General features: G+C 49.1%; 1 protein-coding gene across 21 annotated transcripts in view, besides 7 other annotated features; it reads right to left on the bottom strand.

Moving 5' to 3' along the window:
• The window catches only part of SRC (SRC proto-oncogene, non-receptor tyrosine kinase), a 61,352-nt gene that overhangs the window by 24,238 nt on the left and 10,419 nt on the right, over positions 1-26,695 (bottom strand). For 19 of the 21 annotated variants that reach the window (XM_047440399.1, XM_047440400.1, XM_047440407.1 and 16 more), the window contains one exon: positions 16,536-16,609. The gene's annotated coding sequence lies outside the window, so the exon portion shown is untranslated. Of the gene's footprint in view, positions 1-1,002; positions 1,175-16,535; positions 16,610-26,695 lie in introns of all 21 variants that reach the window. The other 2 variants (XM_047440405.1, XM_047440406.1) reach the window with 1 other exon arrangement.
• Positions 4,482-4,591: an enhancer, noted in NCBI's record as "active region_17843". NCBI's record gives its function as "activates an Ori minimal core promoter by ATAC-STARR-seq in GM12878 lymphoblastoid cells {active_cell/tissue: GM12878}" and the evidence as "EXISTENCE:reporter gene assay evidence [ECO:0000049][PMID:35858748]".
• Positions 6,195-6,334: an enhancer, noted in NCBI's record as "active region_17842". NCBI's record gives its function as "activates an Ori minimal core promoter by ATAC-STARR-seq in GM12878 lymphoblastoid cells {active_cell/tissue: GM12878}" and the evidence as "EXISTENCE:reporter gene assay evidence [ECO:0000049][PMID:35858748]".
• Positions 15,071-15,170: an enhancer, noted in NCBI's record as "active region_17841". NCBI's record gives its function as "activates an Ori minimal core promoter by ATAC-STARR-seq in GM12878 lymphoblastoid cells {active_cell/tissue: GM12878}" and the evidence as "EXISTENCE:reporter gene assay evidence [ECO:0000049][PMID:35858748]".
• Positions 16,487-16,556: an enhancer, noted in NCBI's record as "active region_17840". NCBI's record gives its function as "activates an Ori minimal core promoter by ATAC-STARR-seq in GM12878 lymphoblastoid cells {active_cell/tissue: GM12878}" and the evidence as "EXISTENCE:reporter gene assay evidence [ECO:0000049][PMID:35858748]".
• Positions 22,469-23,039: an enhancer, noted in NCBI's record as "H3K4me1 hESC enhancer chr20:35987177-35987747 (GRCh37/hg19 assembly coordinates)". NCBI's record gives its function as "activates a minimal SCP1, AML or CMV promoter by ChIP-STARR-seq in naive H9 embryonic stem cells {active_cell/tissue: H9 hESC(naive)}" and the evidence as "EXISTENCE:reporter gene assay evidence [ECO:0000049][PMID:30033119]".
• Positions 24,244-24,293: an enhancer, noted in NCBI's record as "active region_17839". NCBI's record gives its function as "activates an Ori minimal core promoter by ATAC-STARR-seq in GM12878 lymphoblastoid cells {active_cell/tissue: GM12878}" and the evidence as "EXISTENCE:reporter gene assay evidence [ECO:0000049][PMID:35858748]".
• Positions 24,664-24,713: an enhancer, noted in NCBI's record as "active region_17838". NCBI's record gives its function as "activates an Ori minimal core promoter by ATAC-STARR-seq in GM12878 lymphoblastoid cells {active_cell/tissue: GM12878}" and the evidence as "EXISTENCE:reporter gene assay evidence [ECO:0000049][PMID:35858748]".

Genomic DNA, 26,695 nt, shown 5'->3' with positions numbered 1-26,695 from the left:
CAGTTTCTATGGCAACCTATTCCATTGAGGTCACGATACCCATCAGCACTCACCCAGCTGGTGTCCCACAAGAACTGCTGACCTGGTTACCTGCAGCCCAAGGATTGATGGGGGCCCAACCAGCCCGCCCCCTAGCCACTTGCTTCCTGGTGCAGCATTTATAGTACCTACTAGCAGGCCCTGTGCTCCTCACTATAGGGGGACATAGAGACGAATTAGCCAGGTCCTGCCTCAGGACCCCAAAGCAGGGGACTTGTTTATGAGACTTTAAGAGGAAGTAAAAATTTTTTTAAAAAATTTTTATGGAGGAAGAACTATCTAAGAGCCTGAATTTTCTTTAGAATAAAATAAATGTTGAGGAGTGAGCTCCCTGTCACTGGAGGTAATCAAAGACGGGAGAATGGGTACTTGGCTGATGTGCCATGAAGGGAGACAGAGAGCCAGGGCTAGACCTTAAGGGCCCTTCCAGTATCAAGGATACATGTCACCTCTTGGAAGGGGACAAGAAGAAAAGACACAACCCCTGACCCCTGCACTCACAAACACGAAGACCACTCCACACTGGGGCACTCAGAAAAAGCATAACAGGGACCTTTAAGACGAAGCTAAGGTCCTGAGCCACCAAGTGCAATGTTTGATGGTTTGTGAGACTGTTTTTTTGGTCTTGGTGGTTGATCCTGGTGTTTGTGGAGAGGCAGACGGTTGAGGTTAAGAGCCGGAGTGCTGGAGCAGACTCCCTGGTTTGAATCCTGGCCGGCCGCCCTTCGCCTCAGTTTTCCTCTCTATCGATCGGGAATAACACCCGTGTCAGGACTGCTGGGAGAATCCGTGAGAAAAGTACACGGAACATGCTCAGGATGGCACGGAACGTTACCAGGCCTCCGTAAATGGTAACTTTTATCATTCAGAGTGGACTCTTTGAGAACTACAAGAAGATTAAAAAAAAAGAAAAGAAAAAATAAAAGAAAATGCCCCATAATTCTGCCCCTAGAAGACAAACACCTGGGTGTGGTGGTGCGTTTCCTTCCAGCGTCACAGCAACGCAAGACGGTCAACAAACTGGGGTCCACCCAGTGCCCTCCACTGTGCACTCGCGGCTGTCAGGGCCAGGCAGGATCCATCTCCATGCCCCCAGAGACCAGGACGGGCCTGACACCCACTAGGTGCTCTGGAACTATTTGCAGAATAGACAAAAGACTAAATGGGCATGGATGTATAATTTGCATCCTACTTTGTTCCTGCAATGCCACACTGAAAAGACTAAATATCATTCCGTGGTATTCAAATACTCCCAGAGCTCAGACCTTGAATTGGACCTTGCTCTAAGTACTTTGCAAACATTGACTCATCGGCTCCTCATGATAATCTAGGAGGTAAATACTAATCATGTCTTTATCTTACTGTTGAGGACATTAAGACACAGAGAGGTTGAAGAACTTGCCTGAAGTCACACAGCATGGGTGAGAGTGAAAAGGGGCCACCACACTGGGCAGGTGGGAATCAGGGGCTGAAACTCACAGGCCCCACCTCCTACCCCCAGGGATCTCTCTCACAAAGCAGCCAGATGGCCTTGGAAGAGGGGTGAGAGGATAAAGCAGCCCACCCCACTCCCAGAGAAAGCCTGAGAAAGCTCCGAGCAGAACGTCCTTGAGCAAGAATGGCCCACTGAGGGTCATGCGGGTAGCACTGTGGCCCCCACTTTCCAGATGAGGAAACTGAGGCCCTGAGATACCCAGAGGAGATTCTACACTGCCGCCTCCCTCTTTTCACTTTATGTGTTAGTGTGTTCAGAGCATCTTCTCAGGCCACTCCAAGCTCTCTCGGTCTTTTTCTTTTTTCTTTTCCTTTTTTTTTTTTTTTTTTTTTTTTTACTCCAAGCTCTCTCGTTCTTTTTCTTTTCCTTTTTTTTTTTTTTTTGAAATGGAGTCTCACTCTATTGCCCAGGCTGGAGTGCAGTGGCGCGATCTCGGCTCACTGCAACCTCCGCCTCCCGGGTTCCAGCGGTTCTCCTGCCTCAGCCTCCCAAGTAGCTGGGATTACAGTCACCGAATACCACGCCTGGCTAATTATTATTATTATTTTTTTTTTTTGAGACAGAGTCTCCTCTGTCGCCCAGGCTGGAGTGCAATGGTGTGATCTCGGCTCACTGCACCCTTCGCCTCCCAGGTTCAAGCAATTCTACTGCCTCAGCCTCCTGAGTAGCTGGGATTACAGGTGAGTGCCACCACTCCCGGCTAATTCTGGTATTTTTAGTAGACACGGGGTTCCACCATGTCGGCTGGGCTGGTCTCGAAAGCTACACGGCTCTTCACTCGATGACTCAGTGAGGGTGGGAGTTAGTCTCGGAGGGCTGCTTCCATGCCGTGGGACCTCATGAGAGACCACCCTCCTCCCTGGCACAGAGCTCTATCCTTGCACTTCCTGGTTCTGGGGCCCAACTGCCGAGTCACCATGAGTTGCTCCTTGGAGAGGGGCCAACCCCCCTCATCTCTTCCGCCACTTGCAGCCTCCAAGGTAGAGATAGACCCTTGCGGGGGTCAAGGGGAAGCAGTGGGGGCCCCACAATGGGGCTGCCTGAGGTTCCCAGGGAAAGGTGGCCCCTTTCCTTCGGGAAGCCACTCCTCACCGTGGGCTCTGGACTCCTCAGCAGACAGGGGGCCTGCACTATGGCTCGCTCCCTCGAGAGGTGCCGAGTTGCTGCTATAAGAACTTTTCCCTCGGCGTTCCCAGTGCCTTGAGCTCAGCAGGTCCCCAAGTGGCCTAGTACCTCCCGCTAAGCCTGCATCTCCCCCCCACCCCCATCCCCATCACTGACTCAGCGACAACCCCTGCACATCCCACCCCAGTCATTCTCCAGGTATTCGCAGAGCACCTGCCACGTGCCAAGCCCTGTGTGGGGCTCTGCCCTTGGGGAGCCCCGGGGTAGTTCCTGAATCTTCCTCAAGCGCATTCCTCCCCTCCACCCTGTCTATCTCCAGTCCTTCAGGCCAGGGCCCTGTGATCCTAGGCCTGGACACAGCAGTGTGGGCCCCTCCAGTCCACCCTCCCCCCGCAGCCAGAGGCGGCTCTGTAAACCTCACAGACAACTGGGCCTCCTCCGCTTAAAACTCTCCACAGAAAGCCATTAACAACCTACGTGTTCCTCAGAGAGGGGCTGGTTAAATAAAGGGGCTCCAGTCCTCAAGTGGACAGCAGTGCAGCCATTACAAAGAATGAGAGCTGAGAGTGGCCTGATAAGAGACCCCAACACACTGTTTCAGTGAAAAGAAGGCAGCGGCAGGGTAGAATCTCCTCTGGGCATATTAGGGCCTCAGTTTCCTCCTCTGGAAAATGGGGACGATGCTACCCACATAATAGGGTTGTGAGCAATCAAACATGATAATGCAGGCAGTGGGCTTAATGTGGTACTGGACCTGTAGCAAACATGAGCTGCTATTATCTCTGTAAAGAAGATTGAGCCTGGGCAACATAGTGAGACTGTATCTCTATAGAAGATTAAAAATTAGCCTGTAGTCCCAGCTACTTGGAAGGCTGAGGTGGGGGGATCACTTGAGCCCTGGAGTTTGAGGCTGCAGTGAGCTATCATCGCGCCACTGCACTCCAGCCTGGATGACAGAACGAGACCCTGTCTCAAAAAAAAAAAAAAAAAAAGAGAAGAAAGAAAGGAAATTGCACACACACACATGCACTCTGCCTGAGCAACACAGTGAGACCATGTCTCAAAAAAAATAAAAATAAAATAATAATAATAATTTTAAAAAAAACTAAAAGAGTAGAATTGGATTGTTTGTAACACAAAGGAATGATAACTGAGGTGACGGATACCCTACTTACCCTGATGTGATTATTACACAATGTATGCCTGTGTCAAGATATCTCATGTACCCCATAAATATATACACCTACTATGTGCCCATAAAAATTAAAAATTAAAAAAACTTTAAAAAAAGAAAGCTCTGGAAGGATTCCAAATTCATCACAATGTTTCATCTCAAAAGTGTGGGATGGGGAGAGGAAAATCCCTTTTTCACTTTACACCCTGTATCAGTTGACATTTAGAAATGACTTTGTCATGATTTTCTAAAGTGACAATTTTTAAAAAATATTCAAGAGCTTCCCATCATAAGCCTGTGGATGAGGCCTAAAGCCATCACCTGGGTCCACATGGCCCTGCAGCTGGTGGTGCTGCCGTCTCCCATGGTGTGTCCCATGCTCCCACGGCGTGTCCCATCCTCCCACAATGATCTACCCAACCACAGGGTGCCACACACTCTCTCTCACCTCCTGGCTCACAGATGCTCAGGTCACACTGCTGTTCAGCCACCACACACCAGCCCCTTCCTTCCTGACTCTGAAGAACATCATCTCACCTCTTCTAAGGGTGGAGAGTAGGCCAGGAGCTTAGGAGCTGAGAGTGAGGACTCCAGTCAAACCTGGGTTCGAGTCCTGGCTGCACTTCTTAGTAGCTACATTTTCTTGTGCAAGTCACTTTGCCTGTGAGTTTCCTCCCCTTTAAAATGGGGATAGAAACCTAACAACTGAAAAGTACGAGTGAGAGTCCTTGTGGCAGGAAAAGAATAAGTGCATGACAAACAGCACACAATGTTGTTTACTGTTGTTATTATCATTCCAGGGAATAAGAGGAGGCAGTGGCAGGGCCTTGAATGCCAAGCACAAGGCTGGGCGCTTTACACACAGTTGGTTCTTAATTGACCCAACAGCACAGTGACGCAGGGACTGTAACTGCACCCACTTTACAGATGGGATCAAGGTTCAGAGAAACTAAAACCTTGTCCAAGGCCACACAGCAAGTGAGTGCAGCAGAGCTGGGATGCTCACGGTTCAGGAGAGCAGTGTCAGAACCTACCTCTGGTACCCCGCCCACTGTGCCAATGACCCCATGGTCCAAAGCAACACAGGGGTCAGAGGGCAACCTATGATCTCATCGCCCACATCTTAGACCCTCCAGGGAAGCAGAAGCATCACAGAGCAGTCAAAAACTACAGGTGGGGCCGGGCACAATGGCTCATGCCTGTAATTCCAGCACTTTGGGAGGCTGAGGCAGGTGGATCACCTGAGGTCAGGAGTTAGAGACCAGCCTGGCCAACATGGTGAAACCCCATCTCTACTAGAAATACAAAATTAGCTGGGCATGGTGGCGCATGCCTGTAATCCCAGCTACTTGATAGGCTGAGGTAGGAGAATCACTTGAACCCGGGTGGTGGAGGTTACAGTGAGCAGACATTGTGCCATTGCACTCCAGCCTGGGCAACAAGAGCAAAACTCCATCTCCAAAATATGTATATATATATACAGGTGGCCCGGGGCCAGAATGCCAGGTTCAGATGCCAGCTTGCAACTTCCTAACCATGCAGCCTTGGGAAATGGGAATTGGTGTGATTGTTCCTACATAATGTGGGGTTCATTGTGAGGAAGCGTGATGTCATATTTGTAAAGTGCCTGGCACATAGAAAGTGCTCAATATCTAATTGGCTATTATTATGATTTCTGTGGAAGACCTTGTTCAGACACTTGCCCTCTTTTGCAGTCACTTTGACAGTTAGGCAAAAGCCTCCAAAATGCCTACTACATGTGCCATGCCCTGTGCATGGTCCTGAGGGGTGTTGTCTGGTGGAGTTGATTAGGAGCCAAGGCCTACAAAAGCCCCTTTACAGGGAAAGAACCCAGAAAAGACAAGGATATCACTATGGACTGAATGTGCATCCCCCACCCCAGATTCACATGTTGAAGCCCTAATCCCCAGTGTGGTGGTGTTTGGAGGTGGGCCTTGGGAGGTGATTAGGTTTACATAAGTCATAAGGATGGAGTCCTTATGACGGGATTAGTGCCCTTATGAGAAGAGGAGGAAACCAGAGCCCTGTCTCTCTCTGCCATGTGAGGACACATTAAGAAGGTGGCCGTTTGCAAACCAGGAAGAGAGTCCTCATCAGACACTGAATCTGCTGCCACCTTGATATTGGACTCTCCAGCCTTCAGAGCTGTGAGAAATAAATGTTCATGGTTTAAGCTGCCCAGTCTATGGTATTTTGTTACAGCAGCCTGAATGAACTAAGATACATGTCCACCAGTTAACCCCACTCTAAGATACTTGCCAATACAATTAGCTTAGAAAAAGAGGGTTGGGTGTGGTGGCTCACACCTGTAATCCCAGCACTTTGGGAGGCTGAGGCAGACGGACTGCTGGAGCCCGTGAGTTTCATACTTTCCAGGGCAACATGGTAAAACACCATCTCTAAAAAAAAACACAAAAATTTGGCCAGGTGTGTTGGCTCATGCATGTAATCCCAATACCTTGTGAGGCAGAGGCAGGAGGATCACGTGAGCCTGAGGAGTTTCAGACTAGCCTGGGCAACATGGTGAAACCCCATTTCTACCAAAAATACACAAAAGAAATTAGCCAGGCATGATGGTGTGCACCTGTAGACCCAGCTACGCAGGAGGCTGAAGTGAGAGAATCACTTGAGTCTGGAAGGTTGAGGCTGCAGTGAGCCATTATCACAGCACTGCACTCCAGCCTGAGCAACAGAGTGAGACTCTGTCTCAAAAAAAAAAAAGGAAAGAGGCCAGGTGCGGTGGCTCATGCCTGTAATCCCAGCACTTTGGGAGGCCAAGGCAGGTGGATCACCTGAGGTCAGGAGTTCGAGATCAGCCTGGCCAACATGGTGAAACCTCGTCTCTACTAAAAATACAAAAATTAGTCAGGCATGGTGGCAGGCACCTGTAATCCCAGCTACTCGAGAGGCTGAGGCAGGAGAATCACTTGAACCCAGGAGGCAGAGGTTGCAGTGAGTGGAGATCATGGCACTACACTCCAGCCTGGGTGACAAAGTGAGACTCTGTCTCAAAAAAAAAAAGAATAGAAAAAGAAATTGAAGAATAAATGGAATTAGAAAAGAGAAGGTAAGAGTATTATTATTGGCCAGGTGTGGTGGCTCACACCTGTAATCCCAACATTTTGGGAGGCAGAGGCGGGTGGATCACCTGAGGTCAGGAGTTCAAGATCAGCCTAGACAACATGGCGAAACCCCATCTGTATTAAAAGTACAAAAATAAGCCAGGTGTGGTGGCACATGCCTGTAATCCAAGCTGCTCTGGAGGCTGAGACATGAGAGTCGCTTAAACCTGGGAGGTGGAGGTTGCAGTGAGCCAAGATTACGCTACTGTACTCCAGCCTGGGCAACAGAGCAAGACTCTGTCTCAAAAAAAAAAAAAAAAAAAAAGAGTATTATTATAGTATTTGGTATAGGTATAAGTCTGGGAAATCCAAGAGAATCTACTGCAAAACTATTAAACCAAAAGCAAATTAAGTAAAGTGGCAGGGAATTAAGTTAACATTCCCAAATCAATTATGTGTATATATACCAATTGCAATTAGAAAATAAAATGAAAGAAAGCTTAGCATTATTAAAATATCAGCCAGGGGCAGTGGCTCACACCTGTAATCCCAGCACTTTGGAAGGCCGAGGTGGGGAGATCATGAGGTCAGGAGTTCAAGACCAGCCTGGCCAATATGGTGAAACCCCGTCTCTACTATAAATACAAAAATTAGCAGTGTGTGGTGGCAGGCACCTGTAGTCCTAGCTACTCGGGAGGCTGAGGCAGAAGAATCGCTTGAACCTGGGAGGCAGAGGTTGCAGTGAGCCGAGATAATGCCACTGCACTCCAGCCTGGGCAACAGAGCAAGACTCTATCTAAAAAAAAAAAAAAAAATTATTCATAAATCAATCTAGAAGTTCAATGTGATCCCAATTAAAAAAAAACCCAAGTTTTTTTTAACTAGGCAAGTCAATTTCTAAATTTGTAAGTAAAAACATATGAATAAGAGTAGCCAGAGAACTCCTAAAAAGAAGACTAATGAGGGAGAAACAGCCCAACCAGACAGTAAACCTTACTATAAAGACACAGTAATTAAAACTGTGTGCTATTGGCACATCAGTACATCAGGGGAACAGAATAGAGTCCAAAAGTTGTCCTGAAACATATGGGAATTTACTATATAATGAAGATGGCAGTTTATACCAGTGAGAAAAAGGTGGATGATTTTTAAGATGGAGCTAGGACCAACAATCTGCCATCAGAAAACAAAGCTGGATCTCAATCTCACTATATATGCCAATAAATTACAAATCAATCAGATTTAAACCACAAAATACTCAAACAATAAAGCTCTAAAAAGGGGAAGAGCTGGGCGTGGTGGCTTACGCCTGTAATCCCAACACTTTGGGGGCCAAGGCAGGAGGGTTGTTTGAGTCCAGGAGTTTGAGACCAGCCTGAACAACATGGTGAAACCTCATATCCACAAAAAATATATATATGTATGTGTGTGTGTATATATGCATATATGCGTATATATGCGTATATACACGCATATATGCGTATATATGCGTATATATACGCATATATGTGTATAATGTACATATATGTGTATGTGTATATATGTACATATGTGTGTGTACATGTGTGTATGTGTGTACATATGTAATGTGTGCATGTGTACATATGTAATATGTGTGTGTGTGTGTGCGTATGTACATGTGTGTGCGTGTGTACATATGTGCATGTGTGTACGTATGTACATGTGTGTAGATATGTACATATATGTATACATGTGTATGTGTGTACATATATGTGTGTATGTGTGTATATGTACATATGTGTATATATGTACATATGTGTGTGTACATATATGTGTATATGTATTTATATATGTATATATGTGTGTATATGTGTGTATATATGTATATATGTGTATATGTGTATATATGTGTATATATATGCATAAAGGGGAAAAGATAATGAATTTTCATATCTCTGAATGGGGAAAGCATTCCTAAACATGACATAAGACCTAGAAACCATTTTTTAAATGATAAATCAATCTACATAAAAATCTGATATGGCTCAATAGACATCATAAACAAGTTCAAAGGACAAACAAAGAAAAATAATTGCAACTCATATGATAGGTAAGGGTGTTTTTTTTTCTTAGCATGTATATAATAAGCTCCCATAAAATAAGAAAAATGACAACATATAGTTTACAGAAAAAGCAAACAAATGGCTCGCAAACATATGACAAGATGCTCAACCTCACTCATAAGATAAATGCAAATTCAAACCATACCAGCCACCCAACAACAGCAGATACACGTTCTTCTCAAGTGCACATGGAACATTCTCCAGGATAGACCATATGCTACACCATAAAACAAGCCTCAATAAATTTAAAAGGAGTGAAATCATACAAAGTATGTTTCCAACCACAATAGAATGAAGTAAGAAATCAATAACAGAAAGAAATTTGGAAAATTAAAATATGTGAAAACTAAACAACACGCTCCTCAATTACCAGTGAGTCAAAGAATAAATCACCAAAAAGCTTAGAAAATACTTTGAGATGAAAGAAAATGAAGATACAACATATCCAAATATATGGATGTGGTAAAAGAGAACTTAAAGGGAAATTTCTAGCTGTAAAATCCTATATTTTAAAAAAAGGAAACCGTCTAGATGTGGTGGCTCACGCCTGTAATCCTAGCACTCTGGGAGGCTGAGACAGGTGGATTGCTTGAGCTCAGGAGATGGTGAAATCCCCATCTCTAAAAAACACACACACACACACGAAAAATCGTCAGGCATGGTGGCACCTGCCGGTAGTCCCAGCTACTCGGGAGGCTGAGGCAGGAGGACTGCTCAAGCCCCGGAGTTCAGAGCTGCAATGAGCCATGATCGTGCCACTTACACTCCAGCCTGGGCAACAGAGCGAGACCCTCTCTCAAAAAATAGAAATAGGCCAGGTGTAGTGGCTCACACTTGTAATCCTAGCACTTTGGGAGACCAAGGGGGGGCGGATTGGAGGTCAGGAGTTCAAGACCAGCCTGGCCAACATGGTGAAACCCCATCTCTACTAAAAATACAAAAATCAGCCAGGCGTGGTGGCAGGTGCCTTGTAATCCCAGCTACTTGGGAGGCTGAGGCAAGAGAATTGCTTGAACCTGGGAGGTGGAGGTTGCAGTGAGCTGAGATCACACCATTGCACTCTAGCCTGGGCAACAAGAGTGAAACTCCATCTCAAAATAAGTAAATAAATAAAAATAAAAATAAGAAAGATTTCAAATCAATAACCTAAACTTCTACCTTAAGACACTGTGAAAAGAAGAGCAAACTAAACCTAAAGCTATACAAGGAAGGAAAGAATAAAAATTAGAGCAGAAATTAATGAAATAAAAAATAAAAAGCAATAGAGAAAATCAACAAAACCAAGAGGTGATTCTTTGAAAAGATCAACAAGATTGACAAACCTTTAGCTACACTGAACAAGAAAAAAAGAGAAGACTCAAATTACTAAACTCAGGAATGAAAGGGAAGACATTATTACTAACCTTAAAGAAACAAAGATTATAAGAGACTACTATGAATAATTCTATGTCAACAAACTAGATAACTTAGATGAAATTCCTAGGAAAAAAACACAAATTATCAAAAATAAGAAGAAATAGGCTGGGCACGGTGGCTCACGCCTGTAATCCCAGCACTTTGGGAGGCCAAGGCAGGCAGATCACCTGAGTTCAGGAGTTCAAGACCAGCCTGGGCCACACGTAAATGGTGAAACCCTGCCTCTACTAAAAATAAAAAATTAGCCGGGCGTGGTGGCACATGCCTGTAATCCCAGCTACTCAGGAGGCTGAAGCAGGAGAATTGCTTGAACCCAAGAGGCGGAGGTTGAGGTGGGCCGAGATGGCGCCATTGCACTCCAGCGTGGGCAACAAGAGTGAAACTCCGTCTCAAAAAAAAAAAAAAAGAAGAAGAAGAAGAAGAAGAAGAAGAAATAGAAAATTCAAATAAATCTAAAGCAAGTAAAGAGATGGAATTATTAATTTTAAATCTTCTCACAGAAGCAGCCCAGGCCCAGATAGCTGGACTGGTGAATTCTACCAAATTTTTAAAGAAGAAATTATACCAGTTCTTCTCTAGGAAACACTTCCCAACTCATTTTCTGAAGCCGGTATTACCCCGATACCATAACCACACAAAGACATCACAAGAAAAGAAAATTACAGACCAATGACTTTTATGAAAATGAATATATATATTACATGTATATAAATCTTCTACAAAATACTAGAAAACTGGATCCAGCAACATATGAAAAGAATTAGATGCCATGACCAAGTAAGACCGATGTCAGGAATATAAAGTCGGTTTAACTTTTTTTTTGAGACGGAGTCTTTCTCTGTCACCCAGGCTGGAGTGCAGTGGCACGATCTCGGCTCACTGCAACCTCCACCTCCTGGGTTCAAGCGATTCTTGTTCCTCAGCCTCCCAAGTAGCTGGGATTACAGGTGCCTGCCAGCACAGCCGGCTAATTTTTGTATTTTTAGTAGAAACAAGGTTTCGCCATGTTGGCCAGGCTGGTTTCGAACTCCTGACCTCAGGCAATCCTCCCGCCTTGGTCTCCCAAAGTGCTGGGATTACAGGCGTGAGGTACCAAGCCCAGCCAAAGTTGGTTTAACTTCTGAAAATCGATTAATGTGATACACTATACCAATATAATAAAGGTCAAGAACCAGGTAATAATTCTAATACATGTAGAAAAAAGCATTTGACAAAATTCAACACTCCTTCATGACAAAAACGATAGAAGGGAACCTCCTCACCCAGATAAAAAGCAGCAATGAAAACCTCACGGCTAGGCCGGGTGTGGTGGCTCACACCTGCAATCCCAGCACTCTGGGAGGCCGAGCCGGGTGGATCACCTGAGGTCAGGAGTTAGAGACCAGTGTGGCCAACATGGTAAAATCTCATCTCTACTAAAAATACAAAAATTAGCTGGGTGTGGTGGCAGATGCCAGTAATTCCAGCTACTCAGGAGGCCGAGGCAGGAGAATCGCTTGAACCCAGGAGGCAAAGGTTTCAGTTAGCCAAGATCGCACCACTGCACTCCAGCCTGGGTGACAGAGTGAGACTCCCATCTTAAAAAAAAAGAAAAAGAAAAGAAAGAAAAGAAAAAAGAAAAAGAAAACCCCAGAGCTAACATCCTACTTAACGGTAAAAGACTGCGTGCCATCCCCCCAAGATCAGAAATGAAAAGAATATCTACCCTCACCACTTCTATTCAAGATTGTACTGGAGCTTCTAGCCCGGACAATTAGGAACGAAAATGAAACATAAGGCATCCAGATTAGAAAGGAAGAAGGAAAACTCTCTTTTTTTGCAGATAATATGATCTTATATATAGAAAATCCTAAGAATTCCACCAAAAAATCAGTAGAACTAATAAATGAGTTCAGCAAGGCTGTAAAGTACAAAATCAATACACAAAAATACATTGTATTTCTATAGGTTGGCAATGAAGAATCCAAAAATAAAATTAAGAAGGAAATTTATGATAGCATCAAAAGAATACTTAGGAAAAAGATTAATGAAAGTATAAAACTTATACTCCGAAAACTACAAAAAAATTTTGAAAGAAATGGAAAGACATCCCGTGTTCATGGCTCAGAAGCCTAAATATTATTAAGATGGCAATACTCCCCAATTGGTCTGCTCCCTATCAAAGTCCCAGCTAGTTTCTTTGCCAAAATTGACAAACTGATCTTAAAATTCATATGGAAAGTCATGGGACCCAGAATAGCCAAACAGTCTTTAAGAAAAACAAAGTTTGAGGACTCACACTTTTCAATTTCAAAACTGTAAAACAACAGTAACAGCATGGTACTGGTATAAGTGTAGACTTATAAACCAGTGGAGGGGAATTCAGAGTCCAAAAGGAAACAATCACATTGACAGTCAATTGATTTTATGCAAGGGTGCCAAGACAATTCAAGGGAGAAGAAGCTGGACACCTTCCTCAAATCCTGCATAAAAATCAACACAAATTGGATCACAAACCTAAATGAAAGAGGTAAAAATAAAAAACTCTCATAAGAAAATATAGGCATAGCCGGGCGCGGTGGCTCACGCCTGTAATCCCAGCACTTTGGGAGGCCGAGGCGGGCGGATCACGAGGTCAGGAGATCGAGACCATCCCGGCTAAAACGGTGAAACCCCGTCTCTACTAAAACTACAAAAAATAGCCGGGCGTAGTGGCGGGCGCCTGTAGTCCCAGCTACTTGGGAGGCTGAGGCAGGAGAATGGCGTGAACCCGGGAGGCGGAGCTTGCAGTGAGCCGAGATCCCGCCACTGCACTCCAGCCTGGGCGACAGAGCGAGACTCCGTCTCAAAAAAAAAAACAAAAAAAAAAAAAACAAAAAAAAAAAAAAAAAAAAAAAAAGAAAATATAGGCATAAATGTTATGACCTTGGATTATGATTTCTTTTTTTGTTTGTTTGGTTGGTTTATTTGTGTTTGTTTGTTTATTTGTCTGTTTGTTTTGAGACGGAGTCTCACTCTGTTGCCCAGGCTGAAGTAAAATGGTGCGATCTCAGCTCACTGCAACCTCCGCCTCCCGAATTCAAGTGATTGTCCTGCCTCATCCTCCTGAGTAGCTGGGATCACAGGTGCCCGCCAGTGCGCCTGGCTAATTTTTGTATTTTTAGTAGAGACGGGGTTTCACCATGTTGGCCAGGCTGGTCTCTAACTCCTGACCTCAGGTGATCCACCCGCCTCGGCCTCCCAAAGTGCTGGGATTACAGGTGTGAGCCACCGCACCTGGCCAGATTATGATTTCTTAAATACAACACCTAGAGCACAAGCAACAAAAGGAAAAATAAACTGCACTTCATCACAATTAAAAACTTCTGTTTTCCAAAGAACAACATCAAGAAAATAAAAGTACAACCCACAGAATAGGAGAAAATATTTGCAAATCATATATCTGACAAGAGACTTGTATCTACAATATATAAAAATCTCTTACAGTGGCTCATGCATGTAATCCCAGTGCTTTGGAAGCCAAGACAGGAGGATCTCTTGAGGCCAGGAGCTTGAGACCGGCCTGGGAAACATAGTGAGACCCCTACTAAAACTTTTTTAAAAATTAGCCAGGCGTGGTGTTGCATGCCTGTGGTCCTAGCTACTCAGGAGGCTGAGATGGGAGGATTGCTTGAGCCCAGGAATTTGAGGTTACAGTCAGCTATGATCACAGCATTGCTCTCCAGCCTGGGTGGCAGAGTAAGATCCTATCTCTACAAAATTAAAAAAAAAAAAATTAAGTCAGGCATGGTGGCATGCACTTATAGTCCTAGGTACTTGGGAGGCTGAGGCAGGGTGATCACTTGAGGCCAGGACTTTAAGACTAGCCTGGGCAACATAGTGAGACCCTGTCTCTAAGGAAAAAAATAGATTACATTAATCATAAAAATAGGCAAAGAACTTGAATAGACATTCCTCCAAAGAAGATATACAAATTGCCAATAAGCACATGAAAAGATGCTTAATGTCACTAGTAATTAGGGAAATACAAATCAAAACAGCCAAGTACAATGGCACATGCCTGTAATCCCAGCACTTTGGGAGGCTGAGGTGCGAGGATCACTTGAGCCCAGGAGTTCGAGACCAGCCTGGGCAACACGGTGAGACCCCATCTCCACAAATTTAAAAAAAAAAAAAAATTAGCCAGGCGTGGTGGCACACACTTTTGGTCCCAGCTGCTTGGGAGGCTGAGATGAGAGGATTGTTAGAGCCCAAGAGTTTGAGGTTGCAGTTAGCCTTGGCAACAGAGTGAGACCCTGTCTCAAAAAAAAAAAAAAAAAAAATCAAAACCACAATGAGATGCCACTTCACAGACACTAGGATGGATGGCTAGAATCTAAAAGACAAATGTTGGCAAGAATGTGGAGAAATTGGAACCCTCAGACATTGCTGATGGGAATGTAAAATGGTGCAGCTGCTTTGCAAAACAGTCTGGCAGTTCCTCAAAAAGTTAAACACGGAATTACCATATGATCTAGCAATTCTACTCCTAGGTACACACTCGAAAGAAATGAAAAACATATGTCTATACAAAAACTTGTGCATGAATGTCCAGAACAGCATTACCCATAATAGCCAGAAAGCCCAAATGTCCATCAACTGATGAATGGATAAATAAAATATGGTATATCCATATGATAGAATATTATTTGGCAAGAAAAAAAAATGAAATATTGATCCATGCTACAACATGAGTGAATCTTGAAAACATTATGCTAAGTGAAAGAAGCCAGCCACAAAAGAGCACACTTGAATGATTCCATTTCTATTAAATGTCCAGAATAGGCAAATCTATAGAAACAGAAACTAGATTAGTTGCTGCCTAGGCCTAGGGAAGGGAAGTTTAGGGGGAAGTGGGGAGTGACTGTAATGGGTGAAGTTTCTTTCTGGAGTAATGAAAATGTTCTAAATTTGACTGTGGTGACGATTGTACAATTCCGTGACTCTACTAAAAACCACTGAATTGTATACTTTAAATAGATAAATTGTATGGTATGGGAATTTTATCTCAGTAAAGCTGTGATACACATTTTTCAAATAAACTACACTGGGGGCCACTGTTCACCTATCAGATTGGCAAATTGCACTTATGCAATTTATGCTGGTGAGAGTGAGGAGAACAGAGGGCGTGGTGACACCAGCACAATCTCTCTGAAAGACAATTTGGCAATACCTATCACAATTACACACCCACCGGCCCTGCAAGGTGGAATTGATCCTAAAAGAACACACAAACACAAGGCATATGATTGAGGATATTCATTTGTGGAATTGTCTAGAACAAGCAAAAGCCTGGAAACAACCAAAATATCTGTCCTTAATTAAATAAAGTGTGACTACCATACATGCAGTGGAATACTACGCAACCATGAACAAGAAAAGTGCAGCACAAATAAATGATCTCTGAGGTACACTGTCAAGAGAAAAAAGTCAATTGTGTGTGTTGGACAGGGTAGAGTGTGTGCTATCATTTGTCTAAAAAAAAAAAAAATTCTGGCCAGGGATGATGGCTCATACCTATAATCCCAGTACTTTGGGAGGCCAAGACAGGAGGATTGCTTGAGCACAGGCATTCGAGACTAGCCTAGGCAACATAGTGAGACTCTGTCTCTACAAAAAAATAAATAACTGGCTGGGTGTGGTGCATGTGCCTGCAGTCCCAGCTCCTTGGGACACTGAGGTGGGAGGATCGTTTGAGCCCAGGATTTCGAAGCTACGGTGAGCATGATTGTGACACTGCACTACAGCCTGGGCAACAGAGTAAGACCCTGTCTAAGAAAAAAAAAAAATTCTTTGCAAATATGTAATATTGAGTCAAGTGCAGAAGCTAAAAATATCAACACCTGGCATTCCCATCATTATTGAAATTCACATTATGCTAAAAAAATTGTTAATATACATGCTTATATATGCTTGGATCTCCCTGGAAGGATACACCAGAAATTTTTTCAAGTGGTTGCCTCTGGCAAGGAGACCTGGGTGTGAGAGAGGCTTACTTTTCCCTGTCGTGTGTGTGTGTGTGTGTGTGTGTGTGTGTGTGTGTGTGTGTGTGTGTGTGTTGATGTCTTTTCTTTCCTTTTTAAGAAAAAACACAGGCTTACCTGGTTTCAAATCCTGGCTCTGTCTCTCATAGCTGGGCAAGTTGCTTCACTTCTCTGAGCTTCTGTTCTCTGTTCTGTAAAGGGAGGGACAATAGGATTAATATCCACCTTGTGAGGTTGGTGTGGAAGATGAAATAAGACAGCACAAGCTCAGGGCCTCCCCCTGTGCCTGGCTCCTAGCAAGTGCACAGTCCCTGTTTGCCATTCATCTGTTACTATGGACACGGCAGTGCACTGTAACAGGGACCACCAGAGAGCCTCAGAGCAAGTGTTCCAAGGACCAGCATCTCCTCTGGCTGGGAGAAACTGGGAAAGGCTTCCTAGGGGAGGCAGCATTTGCGAAGGGCTTCGAGGACAAGGATTTCCACAAGTAGAGATGAATGGGGGCCACATTCTTGGCAAAGGGGGCTACACAAGCAAGAGGCCGGGAGTGGGAAAGCCCGGGACAGCCACTCAGTGGTGCACTCCTGGGCTTCTCCAACAAGATTTAGCTGAGCACCTACTGCGCCCCAGATGCCGTAGTGGGAAAAACAGTCAAAAGCCATGTGGCTGGGCTGGCCGAGGGAGGAACTACTGAAAGTATCGTGACAAGGATAACGAGGGGCCAGGTCCACGTGCTCATAGAGCAGGCCAGGAAATGGAGGCTCAGAAAGGGAGAGGGGCCATCCAAGATCACACAGCAGGTTCCCAATTTCTGAACATAGCCTCTCTCAGCTCCACCCTCTCCTTGTCCCCTAGACCTGGAGAAGAGAAAGTCCAGAGGGGTCCTCCTGCCACGCCCTCATCACGGGGTGGACACAGAGGCCAAATAAACCAGGGGCCCCACAAGGAGGAGGGACAGTTGGTCCTCAGAGGATAACAACAGCTACGGCGTCACCATCACGGTGCTCCTGGGTGGCGGGCACCATGCTTACGAGCTCAGTGAACCACCCCAACCCTCTGTGGTGGGCTCTGATTTGCAGATGAGGAAACTGAAGCACAGAGAGGCGGGGCTGCTTGCCTGATGTCACACAGCTCATAAGACACAGCACCAGGAGGCAAACCCAGACTATCTGGGTTCCACCGTCTCGTACCCCAGAGCCCATTCCTCAAAGGAGGCCCCGGCAGGGCATCTATCAGTGATCGCATCCTCTCAGAAGGGCCCAGGGTGGAAGCTGTTCTCAGCCAGTCCTGGAATGCCTCCTGATAACAGTACCCCAATGGCAGGGGAGAGGTGGGAGGCGGGGCAGGGAAGAGCAGTGGTGGGTGTAGTATCAGGCCTGTGCGGGGATGGAGGGGGAAGGCGGTGGGCAGGGACTTGGCCCATTAGCAGCCATCCTCTCCCTGATGGGAGAGCCGAAGGACTTGTCAGGCACCTGCCATGCACCACGCTCATCACACCATCGCACAGATGAGGAAACTGAAGCACAGACAGGTTAAATGGCGTGCCTGAGATCCCAACTCTTAGCAGCCGAGTGACAATCCCTAACGCTCTGCATGTCTCCCTAACCGGGACGGCCACCCAGAGCCCCTGGGAACCGCCCAAGGAAGGAGCCTGGGCTCCTCTTGGCAAAACCCAATGTCACCAGCTGCTCTGGTCCAGGCGGGGGTGGAATGGGGTGTGCTGATGGGGGTGCAGAAACCCACACTTCTCCCCTTCACATCCTCCCGCCCGGGGTTCACGCTCCCCTCCAATGTTCCCAGCAGCCCTGTAGCAAGCTGTGGCCACACTCGTTTTACATACAAGGCCACAGGGGCCCCAGGAGGCTGCCCCAGCCAGAAGGCAGACAGCCAGGATACCAGCCAGATCCGAGGGACACCAGAGCCCATCCTACCCCACCTCCCCTGTGAGGAGCACAGCAAGGGCGACCCAGGAGGGAGCCTGGGTGCAGAGGCGCAGGCGGACCAGGGTGCCAGGTGGGCAGGGCCTTGTTCAGAGCGAGGTCTGGCCAGAGTGTGTTCCGGTATAACTGGGTCACTGCTGGCCCTTGGCCTAGGCACGAGGGGGCCCGGGGAAGACCCTGAGAGGGATATGTTCAATGCAAGTCACGAAGGCCTGCAAAACTGAGAGCAGGGCCAGGAAGCTTTTCTCAGGCCCCTGGGAGCCGGCGGTCAGAGAACAGTGGCCCTTCCCACAGTGTCTTGTCAGGGACCGTCATCTCCAGCTCCAAAGGGCCAGAGGGGCAAGAGGAGACACCTAAACCATGGTGGCCTTCCCAGAGGAGGGGGTATCTCAGCTGAGGCCCAAAGGCTAGGCGGTTTGTGAAGAGAGGGTGGGGAGTGTGATCCAGGCAGGTGGGATGGCTTTGACAGGGCCTGCAGCTGGGACCGCTTAGAGAAAGGCGAGGGAGCTATGTCAATTTCAGTCCTGCAGCCTCAGTTTCCTCAGCGGCAAAATGGGGGAAAGACTGGCACACCAGGGTGGCGCTCTCTTCCCTATACCCACTTCCCACCATCTCTCCCTCCTCCGAGCCCCCACACCCTGGAGTGAGGTCACTGAGAAGGAGACAGCATCTAGGGACTGGTGAGTTGGAGGGGTTAGGAGGCTTCGCAGACCCCCCCACCCCACCCCAGGAACCATCCCAGAGTCTGTCACCAGGCCGCCCCGTAACGGGGTGGGTAGGGCAGCTCACAAGGCCAGGGGGTCACAGCCTCAACCCCCAGGAGCTTTCGTGGGCCCTTCTCCTTGGCAGCTGAGGAGGCTAAGGCTCAGAGAAGGGGGCTGCCGGGCCTTGGTCACACAGCAAGACCAAGGCCTGCCCTGGAATGAGGGTGTGGGCTGGGGGCAATGGCACTGAGGATAAGATTCTTGGGGCACCAGGCCCCAGAGCACTGAGCTGAGGAGAAACTGGAAGAGGAGACAGAACCTTGGGGCCCAGCCTGCTGAGGGCTAACCACCACGTGGCTGAATGGAAGGCTTCCATGAGAATCACTGTGCGGCCAGGAGCAGTGGCTTGCACCTGTAATCCCAGTGACTCAGGAGGCCAAGATGGGAGGATCGCTTGAGGCCAAGAGTTTGAGACCAGCCTGGGCAACAAAGTGAGACCCCCATCGCTACAAAAAAAAAATAGAAAAAAAATGTAACCGGTCATGGTGGTGCCCAAGAGTTCCAGCTACTCAGGAAGCCGAGGTGGGAGGATTGCTTGCACCCAGGAGTTTGAGGCTGCAGTGAGCTATGATTACACCACTGCACTCCAGCCTGGGCAACAGAGTGAGACCTTGTCTCAAAAAAATAAATAAAGACATAAATAAGAGCTAACCTGGGCTTCAGCATCTCTGCCTGCACACAGAGACCCCAGCATCTCTACCTGCACACAGAGACCCCAGCATCTCTACATCTCTACCTGCACACAGAGACCCCGGCATCTCTACCTGCACACAGAGACCCCGGCATCTCTACCTGCACACAGAGACCCCGGCATCTCTACATCTCTACCTGCACACAGAGACCCCGGCATCTCTACATCTCTACCTGCACACAGAGACCCCGGCATCTCTACCTGCACACAGAGGCCCTCAGCAGCACTCCTGCCCTGCCCCTGCTCAGTGTCAGGAGAGGATCACAGAGAACACTGAGGTGGCAAGTTTTGCTCTCTCCCAGCCGTAGGTCATCTTTCCGAGAGCCCCCAGCTGCCCCACCCCTGATGGGTGATGGCTGATGTGCCTTGTGGAGATGGCCGCCAGCCGGCCCCTGCCCATGGCACCCACTGTTCCCTGCCAGCTGCTTTGGGAACACACAGTGCCCCCTCCTCCCCGCCCACACCCATGCAGTATCTCCCTCCAGGGACACTGGTGGGCAGGAGCGCCTAGTGGCCAGGGCCCTCCACACGGCCCAGCCTGAGCCCCAAACCCACCCCCTGGCCCCGTTCAAGCCTGCAGGTGGCCTGCCCCTGGCTGTGTGGTCACAGGAAGGTCAGCCTGCCTTTACTCATCCATGAAATGGGTCTCTGGCAGGTATCAGAGGGAGGAGAGGGCATCCGAGACAGGCTGGGGACGGGTGATCGTAAGATGATAAAAACGATCGACACTCCAGCCTGGTGATCACAGGACCAAGGCCAAACTTGGATGGAGGGGGCCTGCCGCAAGCTCCCATCCCTTGACCCTCCCTTAAACTCGTAACTACCCTCTAGCTTCCAAGCCTTTGCACATATTCTTCCCCCCCTAAGCTCCACCACCCACCTCCCCTTTCACTGCCCCACCATGAACTACAGTGTACCCTTTCGGCCTGACCACAGGCAGTACCTGACCTTGCCTGCCCCCCCACAAGCTGAGAGAGGGACCGCCACCCTTTTCTGGGCTAATGTAGCCTCCACCACATAGGGATTAAGAGCTAGACTACCAGGATTCAAAACCTAGCTCTGGCCCTTCCTTGCTGTGTGACCTTGGGAAAGTTACTCCACCTCTCTGTGCCTCCACTGCCTCTCCTGTCAAATAGTGATACACATCATCTACCTCAAAGGACTGTTGTGAGGATTAAATAAGTTTATATCTGTGAAGCACACAGGACTGGACCCAGACCCTAGCAAGTGTGCCCTAAGTGTTTGCTATCAGTCAAAAGAGTAGGAGCAGCTATTCTTTGTTGAGCACCTACTATGTGCCGGGCCTATGCTAGGCATCCTACTTGAATGATCTCACAATAGCATGACAGCGGGGGCTATTATGAACCTCGCTTTATGGCAAGGAGGGGGAAGTCCAGAGACATCAGTTGCACCATCAAAATATATCTGGGAGAGGAGGGGATTTTTGCTGATATTAAGAAGTTAGGCCATTAGATGGTGGCTCACGCCTGTAATCCAGCACTTTGGGAGGCAGAGGCAGGAGGATCACTTGAGTCAGGAATTGACTCAGGAATGACCAGTCTTGGTAACATAGAGAGACCTCATCACTACAAATTAAAAATTTTAAAAACTAGCCAGGTGGGGTGGTATGCGCCTGTAGTCCCAGCTACTCAGGAGGCTGAGGTGGAAGGATCGCTCAAGCCCAGGAGCTTGAGGCTGCAGTGAGCTGTAATTGCACCACTGCACTCCAGCCTGGGTGACAGAGTGAGACCCTGTCTCACCAAAAAAAAAAAAAAAAAAAAGAGAGAGAGAGAAAGAGAAAGAAATTGTTCACATTTTTTACATGGACTTTAGTTTTATGGCTACTTTTTAAACACAAGAGTCCTTGTCTTTTAGAGATACACACTGAAATATTTCACACGTGAAATAAGATGCCTGTCATTTGCTCTAAAATGACACAAGATAGGATGGGATAGAACAGGTGTGGAGGAGGCAGGACTGGCCATGGGTAGTGGTGCTTGGCTCAGCGATGGGTTCATGGGGTTCATTCTATGAACATGCCTCCAGAATAGAGTGGGAAAAGCAAGATTAACTTAAATGATGCAAAGAAAAAAAAAATGCTTGGCCCTTTGACCCTCCCAATAACTACGCCCAGACTGAGCGAACCGCCACCCCCTAGACTAAGGCAGCAGCCACCTCACTGGTCCACCCACCTCCACCCTCAGCCCCCAGTCTGCTCTTCACACAGCAGCCAGGTGCACCCAGGACCCTCGTGTGACCCCATCTCGCTCCAAGTCCAAAGCCTGCGTTTTAGATGGCTCAGGTGCCCTCCCTGATCCGCCCTCCTCTCTCCATTCTTCCCCTGTTCTTCCCCTTTCTCACTCTGTTCCCCTGGCCCCCTCCAGTTCCACCAGCACTCCAGGCTCTCCCCTGCCTCGGGGTCTCCCCACTGGCTGTTCCCTCCCCAGGGAGCTGCATGGCTCCTCCCTCCCCTCCTTTGTTGTGAGCTTCTTTGAGGTGTGAAGCCTTCCCTGGCCACCATCTAATTGCGACCCATCCTCCACGAGCCCACCAGCAGGCCCACCCGCTTCCCTGCATTATGGATTCGTGGCCCTTACCGCCTTCTTACGGGCTGTGTGTGCAGTTTCCTTATTTGTTGTGTTCTTCTGTCTCCCCCTCTAGAATGTGAGCTTTGCAAAAGCAGGGATCTTTGGTTGGTTCCTTGCTATCTGCAGCTCTAGAACATTGTTGAGCACAGAAAATATTTGTGGGATGGATAGACCGACGGATGGGCCCCACCTAGGGCCCCACAGGAATAAGAGGTGGCAGCCCTCGGCCCCAGATCTGTCCAGTCCCACAGCCTATGCCCCACCACTGTGCCCTCCTGCCACCTGCCTGGTCCATCTCTGCGGCAGAGCTTCTGCCCACCCTGGCTTACACAGGGCAGAAGCAAGTCTGAGACAACTCCAGGCCCTGATCCCCACCCAGCATGGCCCAGGCCAGGAACTGAGGTCCCAGAGGATGTTTGCTGAGTGAGCAAAGAGTGAGTGAAGAGTGAGCAAGGGGCCGTGCGCGTGCCAGGGCAGCCAGGACATGCCTGGTCCCGTGTCCGCGGCGCGAACATGCTCAGGGACAGTAGACTCAAACCGGCTCTGCCAGTGGGGCTGGGGTGGAGACGGCAGGCCGGGGCGGACACCGGCAGACATGGAGGGGTGCACTGGGGACGGGGCCTGCAGCCCAGAAAGGGCAGAAGCCCAGCAGGGGGGCCACGGAGCTCCTACCAAACTCACGCCCTGGAGAGCACAACTGTCCCAGCCCTGACCGCTCTTCTGCTTCCTCCCAGGCAGAAAAGGGGCCTCTATCAGACCCCAATCCCTGGCCTGCACTGTAGGGGACTGGATCCCTTCCCAATGGGACCTGTGCAGGGCCTGGAAGCCCTCCAAGGAAGCGTACTGCCTGGAAGTGGGTGGCGCCTGAAGAGGGCAAGGAGAGGTGAGCCCTGGGCTGTGCAGAGACCACCCGGTACGGAAACCCTGATCTGTCCCAAGGTGCTGGGGAGACTTGAGTGAATCCACGAGCCCTTCTGGACTCAGTTTCCCTGTGTGGAAAGTGGTGTTGGGTATGGATTCCAGGACTGTGAATCCCAAGGTGCTGAGTTACCTGAAAGGGGCCACTCAGCCCTCCAGCCCCTTCCCAAAGCCCAGCTCTGGGGTGACCACGGCCAGAGCCCGGGCCCACACACATGCCCTTACTCCCCACAAAAACAACAGCGATCAAAATCCTTACTAACTACTGAACACATGGCGTATGCAGGACATCAGTTCGGCACTTCACACTCAGTCTCATCGGCTCCTCCTGCCAGCACTGTGGGGTAGGGACCGTTACTGTGCCCAGCCTCCTCCTCTCAGGCTGGCTAATACAGAGCAGGGAACCCTTCTGAAATGTCAGTTTGAACCCTTCGTTCCTGCTTAATACCACCCACAGAACCCACACTCCTGACACAAAGGCCAAAGTCGTCACAGGGGCCTCCAAGGCCCTCAGTGGCCTCCACCAACCCCATCCCTCCCCTCGCTCTACTCCATCCACACCAGCCGCCTGCCCCTTCCCTGAAAAGCCAGCACACTCCTGCCTCAGGGCCTTTGCACCTGCTGTTCCTGCACTGGCAGCACACTCCACCCTCACCTACACCCTCACTCCCTTGCCTCCTTCAGGTCTTCAGGACTCAGCCATCTGCTCAGACAGGCCTTGCTCGACCACCTGTTTCTTGATACACCCAGCCAACTCTGCTCTCCAAGTCTCAGCTCCAAAGCCACTTCCTCACAGAAAGCCTCCCTCAAACCCCAGTCCAAGTGAGGATCTTCAACTTCTGCTTCCTAGCATGGACCGACCACAGCTCTGATGACATAACTCACTGTGTGAGAACCTGTCTCACGGGGACGGGGGCCACTTCTGTCTTCCCTATAATTTAATACTCTGCAGCAGGTGTAATATTCAAAACAATGAACAGCTGGGATGCTTGGGTACCAGTGGGTCAGAACAGACACTGGCCAAAGGCACACAGCCTAGCATGGAGTGAGTACCTGATCATGGATGGATGGATGGATGGATGGATGGAAGAGCAAGCAGGGCACCCACAGTAGGCCTGGGACTTGCCTGAGAAGGTGGCCCAGAGAAGAGAAGGGCCCATCCGAGCTCACAGCCAGATGTTGGCCAGGGCAGCTGTAGCCAGCCCAGCCTGTCCTCCTGCACAGCCCGACTTTCGTTTCCCACCCTCTGTGTCTGAGGAAGCTCCTTCTCCCCAGGGGAACTGAGTGAAGAGAAGGGGCAAGCAGTCCCCTGCTCCCCAAGGACAGGGGCTCTCAAGCTCCATCCGCCCTCCACAAAGGGGCTTTGTCCTCTGTGCTGAGAGCCCAGGGTAGACCGGAAGCCGCCCCCCACAGCCCAGCAAGTCTCAGTCCCCGAGCCGGCTGGGGCAACAGCTCTAGACACAGACCCACGAGGCGGGCAGAGTGCTGGCACAGCTCTTCACAATATCATTTCACTCTCTCAGGAGCCGTAGGAGGGAAGCTCTAGTGTGACCCCCATTTTTGCGGATGGGGAAACTGAGGCTCTCAAAGGCCAAGGTCTGCCAGCCAGCAGGTAACAAAGCCTGGATTCTAATCCAGGCCCATCTGGCACCAGTGCCAACAGCCACGGCTCTCAACTCCCCCTGTCTAGAGTCCAGACCCTCCAGGTTCAAGAGGGCAGAGGGGGTCTTTATGGAGGCAATCAGGCCTAGCCCTTCACCCACGTCGGGGAGCTTTGCCCTGGTGAGGTTTACCCAAAAAGGAAGGGAGGCCGGGCCCTAACCCCAGAGCCCTTGCCCAATGCCCCAGGCGCCTTGGGAATCTGCCAGTTGGGCTGCAACACGTCTCCACCACTTCCTGCCAGGCAGGCGTCTTCGAGGAAAGGATGGACAGGCAGAAGGACCCAGGGGCAGAAGCTCCCCACCCTGCCCCCCACCACTCCCCTGTCCATCCCAGACCTGGCCATTTCCCCTGCCAGTGCCTGCTTCTCTCCAGGCCCATCTGTTCTCAGTGCGGCCACCAGGGCCACCTCACTGAAGCCACACTGACCCTGACCCAGACACTACCCAGAATGTGGGATACATTACTCTCATCCAGTAGCCCTTCCTCACTGCCCGAGGAGCAGGCCCCCAGGCCCTCTACCCATTGGCACCAGCCAACTGACCCAAGTCAAGACTCCATGGCTCCTCAGACCTCCAAGAGGAGCTGCTCACAGGGCACCTTCAGGCCCTTTGTCAAGCTCTATCTCCCCTCAGAGGTCCCTCCCATCCTTCCGGTAAGTCAGGGTACCTCCTCCCCCAGGAAGTCTTCCCTGACCCACTCCCTCCAAGGCCCCAGGTCAGCCCCTACCTTTTGCCCCAGGGAGAGGTTTTAGATCCCTGTCTTGAACCCTGTGGGCTGCCTTTACTTGGCAAAAGTAATTGAGCCTCTGAGGCCGGTCTGATCCTTCTCTGTCCTCCACACCTGCAGCAAGAGTCTGGCCTCAACCTGCTCTGCTCTCATCACCCCCAGGCCCAAGCCTGAGTGCCCTGTGAGGGTTTGAGGCTCTGCCTGATCAGCCAAGCCACCTTCTAACCCCCTTGTACCTGGCCTGCTGCTCCCCACCTCCATGGCTATCCACACCGCCTGGCTACTTCCTACCCCCAGACATTTTTGCACACGGTCCCTTCTTCCCGGCCCACCCTCACCCTTCTTTTTTTTCTCATGAGCTCCTGCTCATCCTTTAAGATCCAGGCCAGGTATCACCTCCTCCGGGAAGCTCTCCTGGCATTGTGCTGGGTTGCCATAGTTCATATGGCCCCTACCCCATCGTGCCATAGGGAAATGACTGGAGTCTCTCTGGCTCCCCCAGAATATAAGCTATGTCCCAAGTACATCCTCAGGGTTCCCAGCACCCATCACAAGGCCCAGATATCACCGGTGGATAACAGAGAGTCCAGCTGCCAACTCCCTACCCAGAGAACCCAGGGGCAGAGCCCAGGAGCCACTCCCAGTGGCAGCACTGAGTCCTATTTTGCCCGCGATGCCCACAGCTCTAAGGTATGGGTGGAGTGGGCGGAGGGGGGAGCTCGCTGCAAATGGCCAACTGGTAACCAAACCCACTCCGTTTCTAAAACTAGGGCACAGGAGAGAAACGGGAACAGCAGTATTGTCCCCAAATAGAACTATGTCTCATCTGGTTCCGGGGCCTTCGGGAACACCTGGCGGGGTGGGGGTGGGGAGGGCAGGAGGCTGCTCCCGAGGCTTCAAACACAAATCTAAAGTTTAGAGGGCAGGGGAGTCAGCATCACCCAAAATCACCACAGTTGGCGCTGAGATCCTGCCCACTTCACCCAGC

This window comes from Homo sapiens, chromosome 20 (genome assembly GCF_000001405.40).
Source record: "Homo sapiens chromosome 20, GRCh38.p14 Primary Assembly".
Classification (NCBI taxonomy): Eukaryota; Metazoa; Chordata; class Mammalia; order Primates; family Hominidae; genus Homo; species Homo sapiens.
The sequence above is the reverse complement of the archived record's forward strand: the minus strand, read 5'-3'. Positions and strand labels throughout refer to the sequence as shown.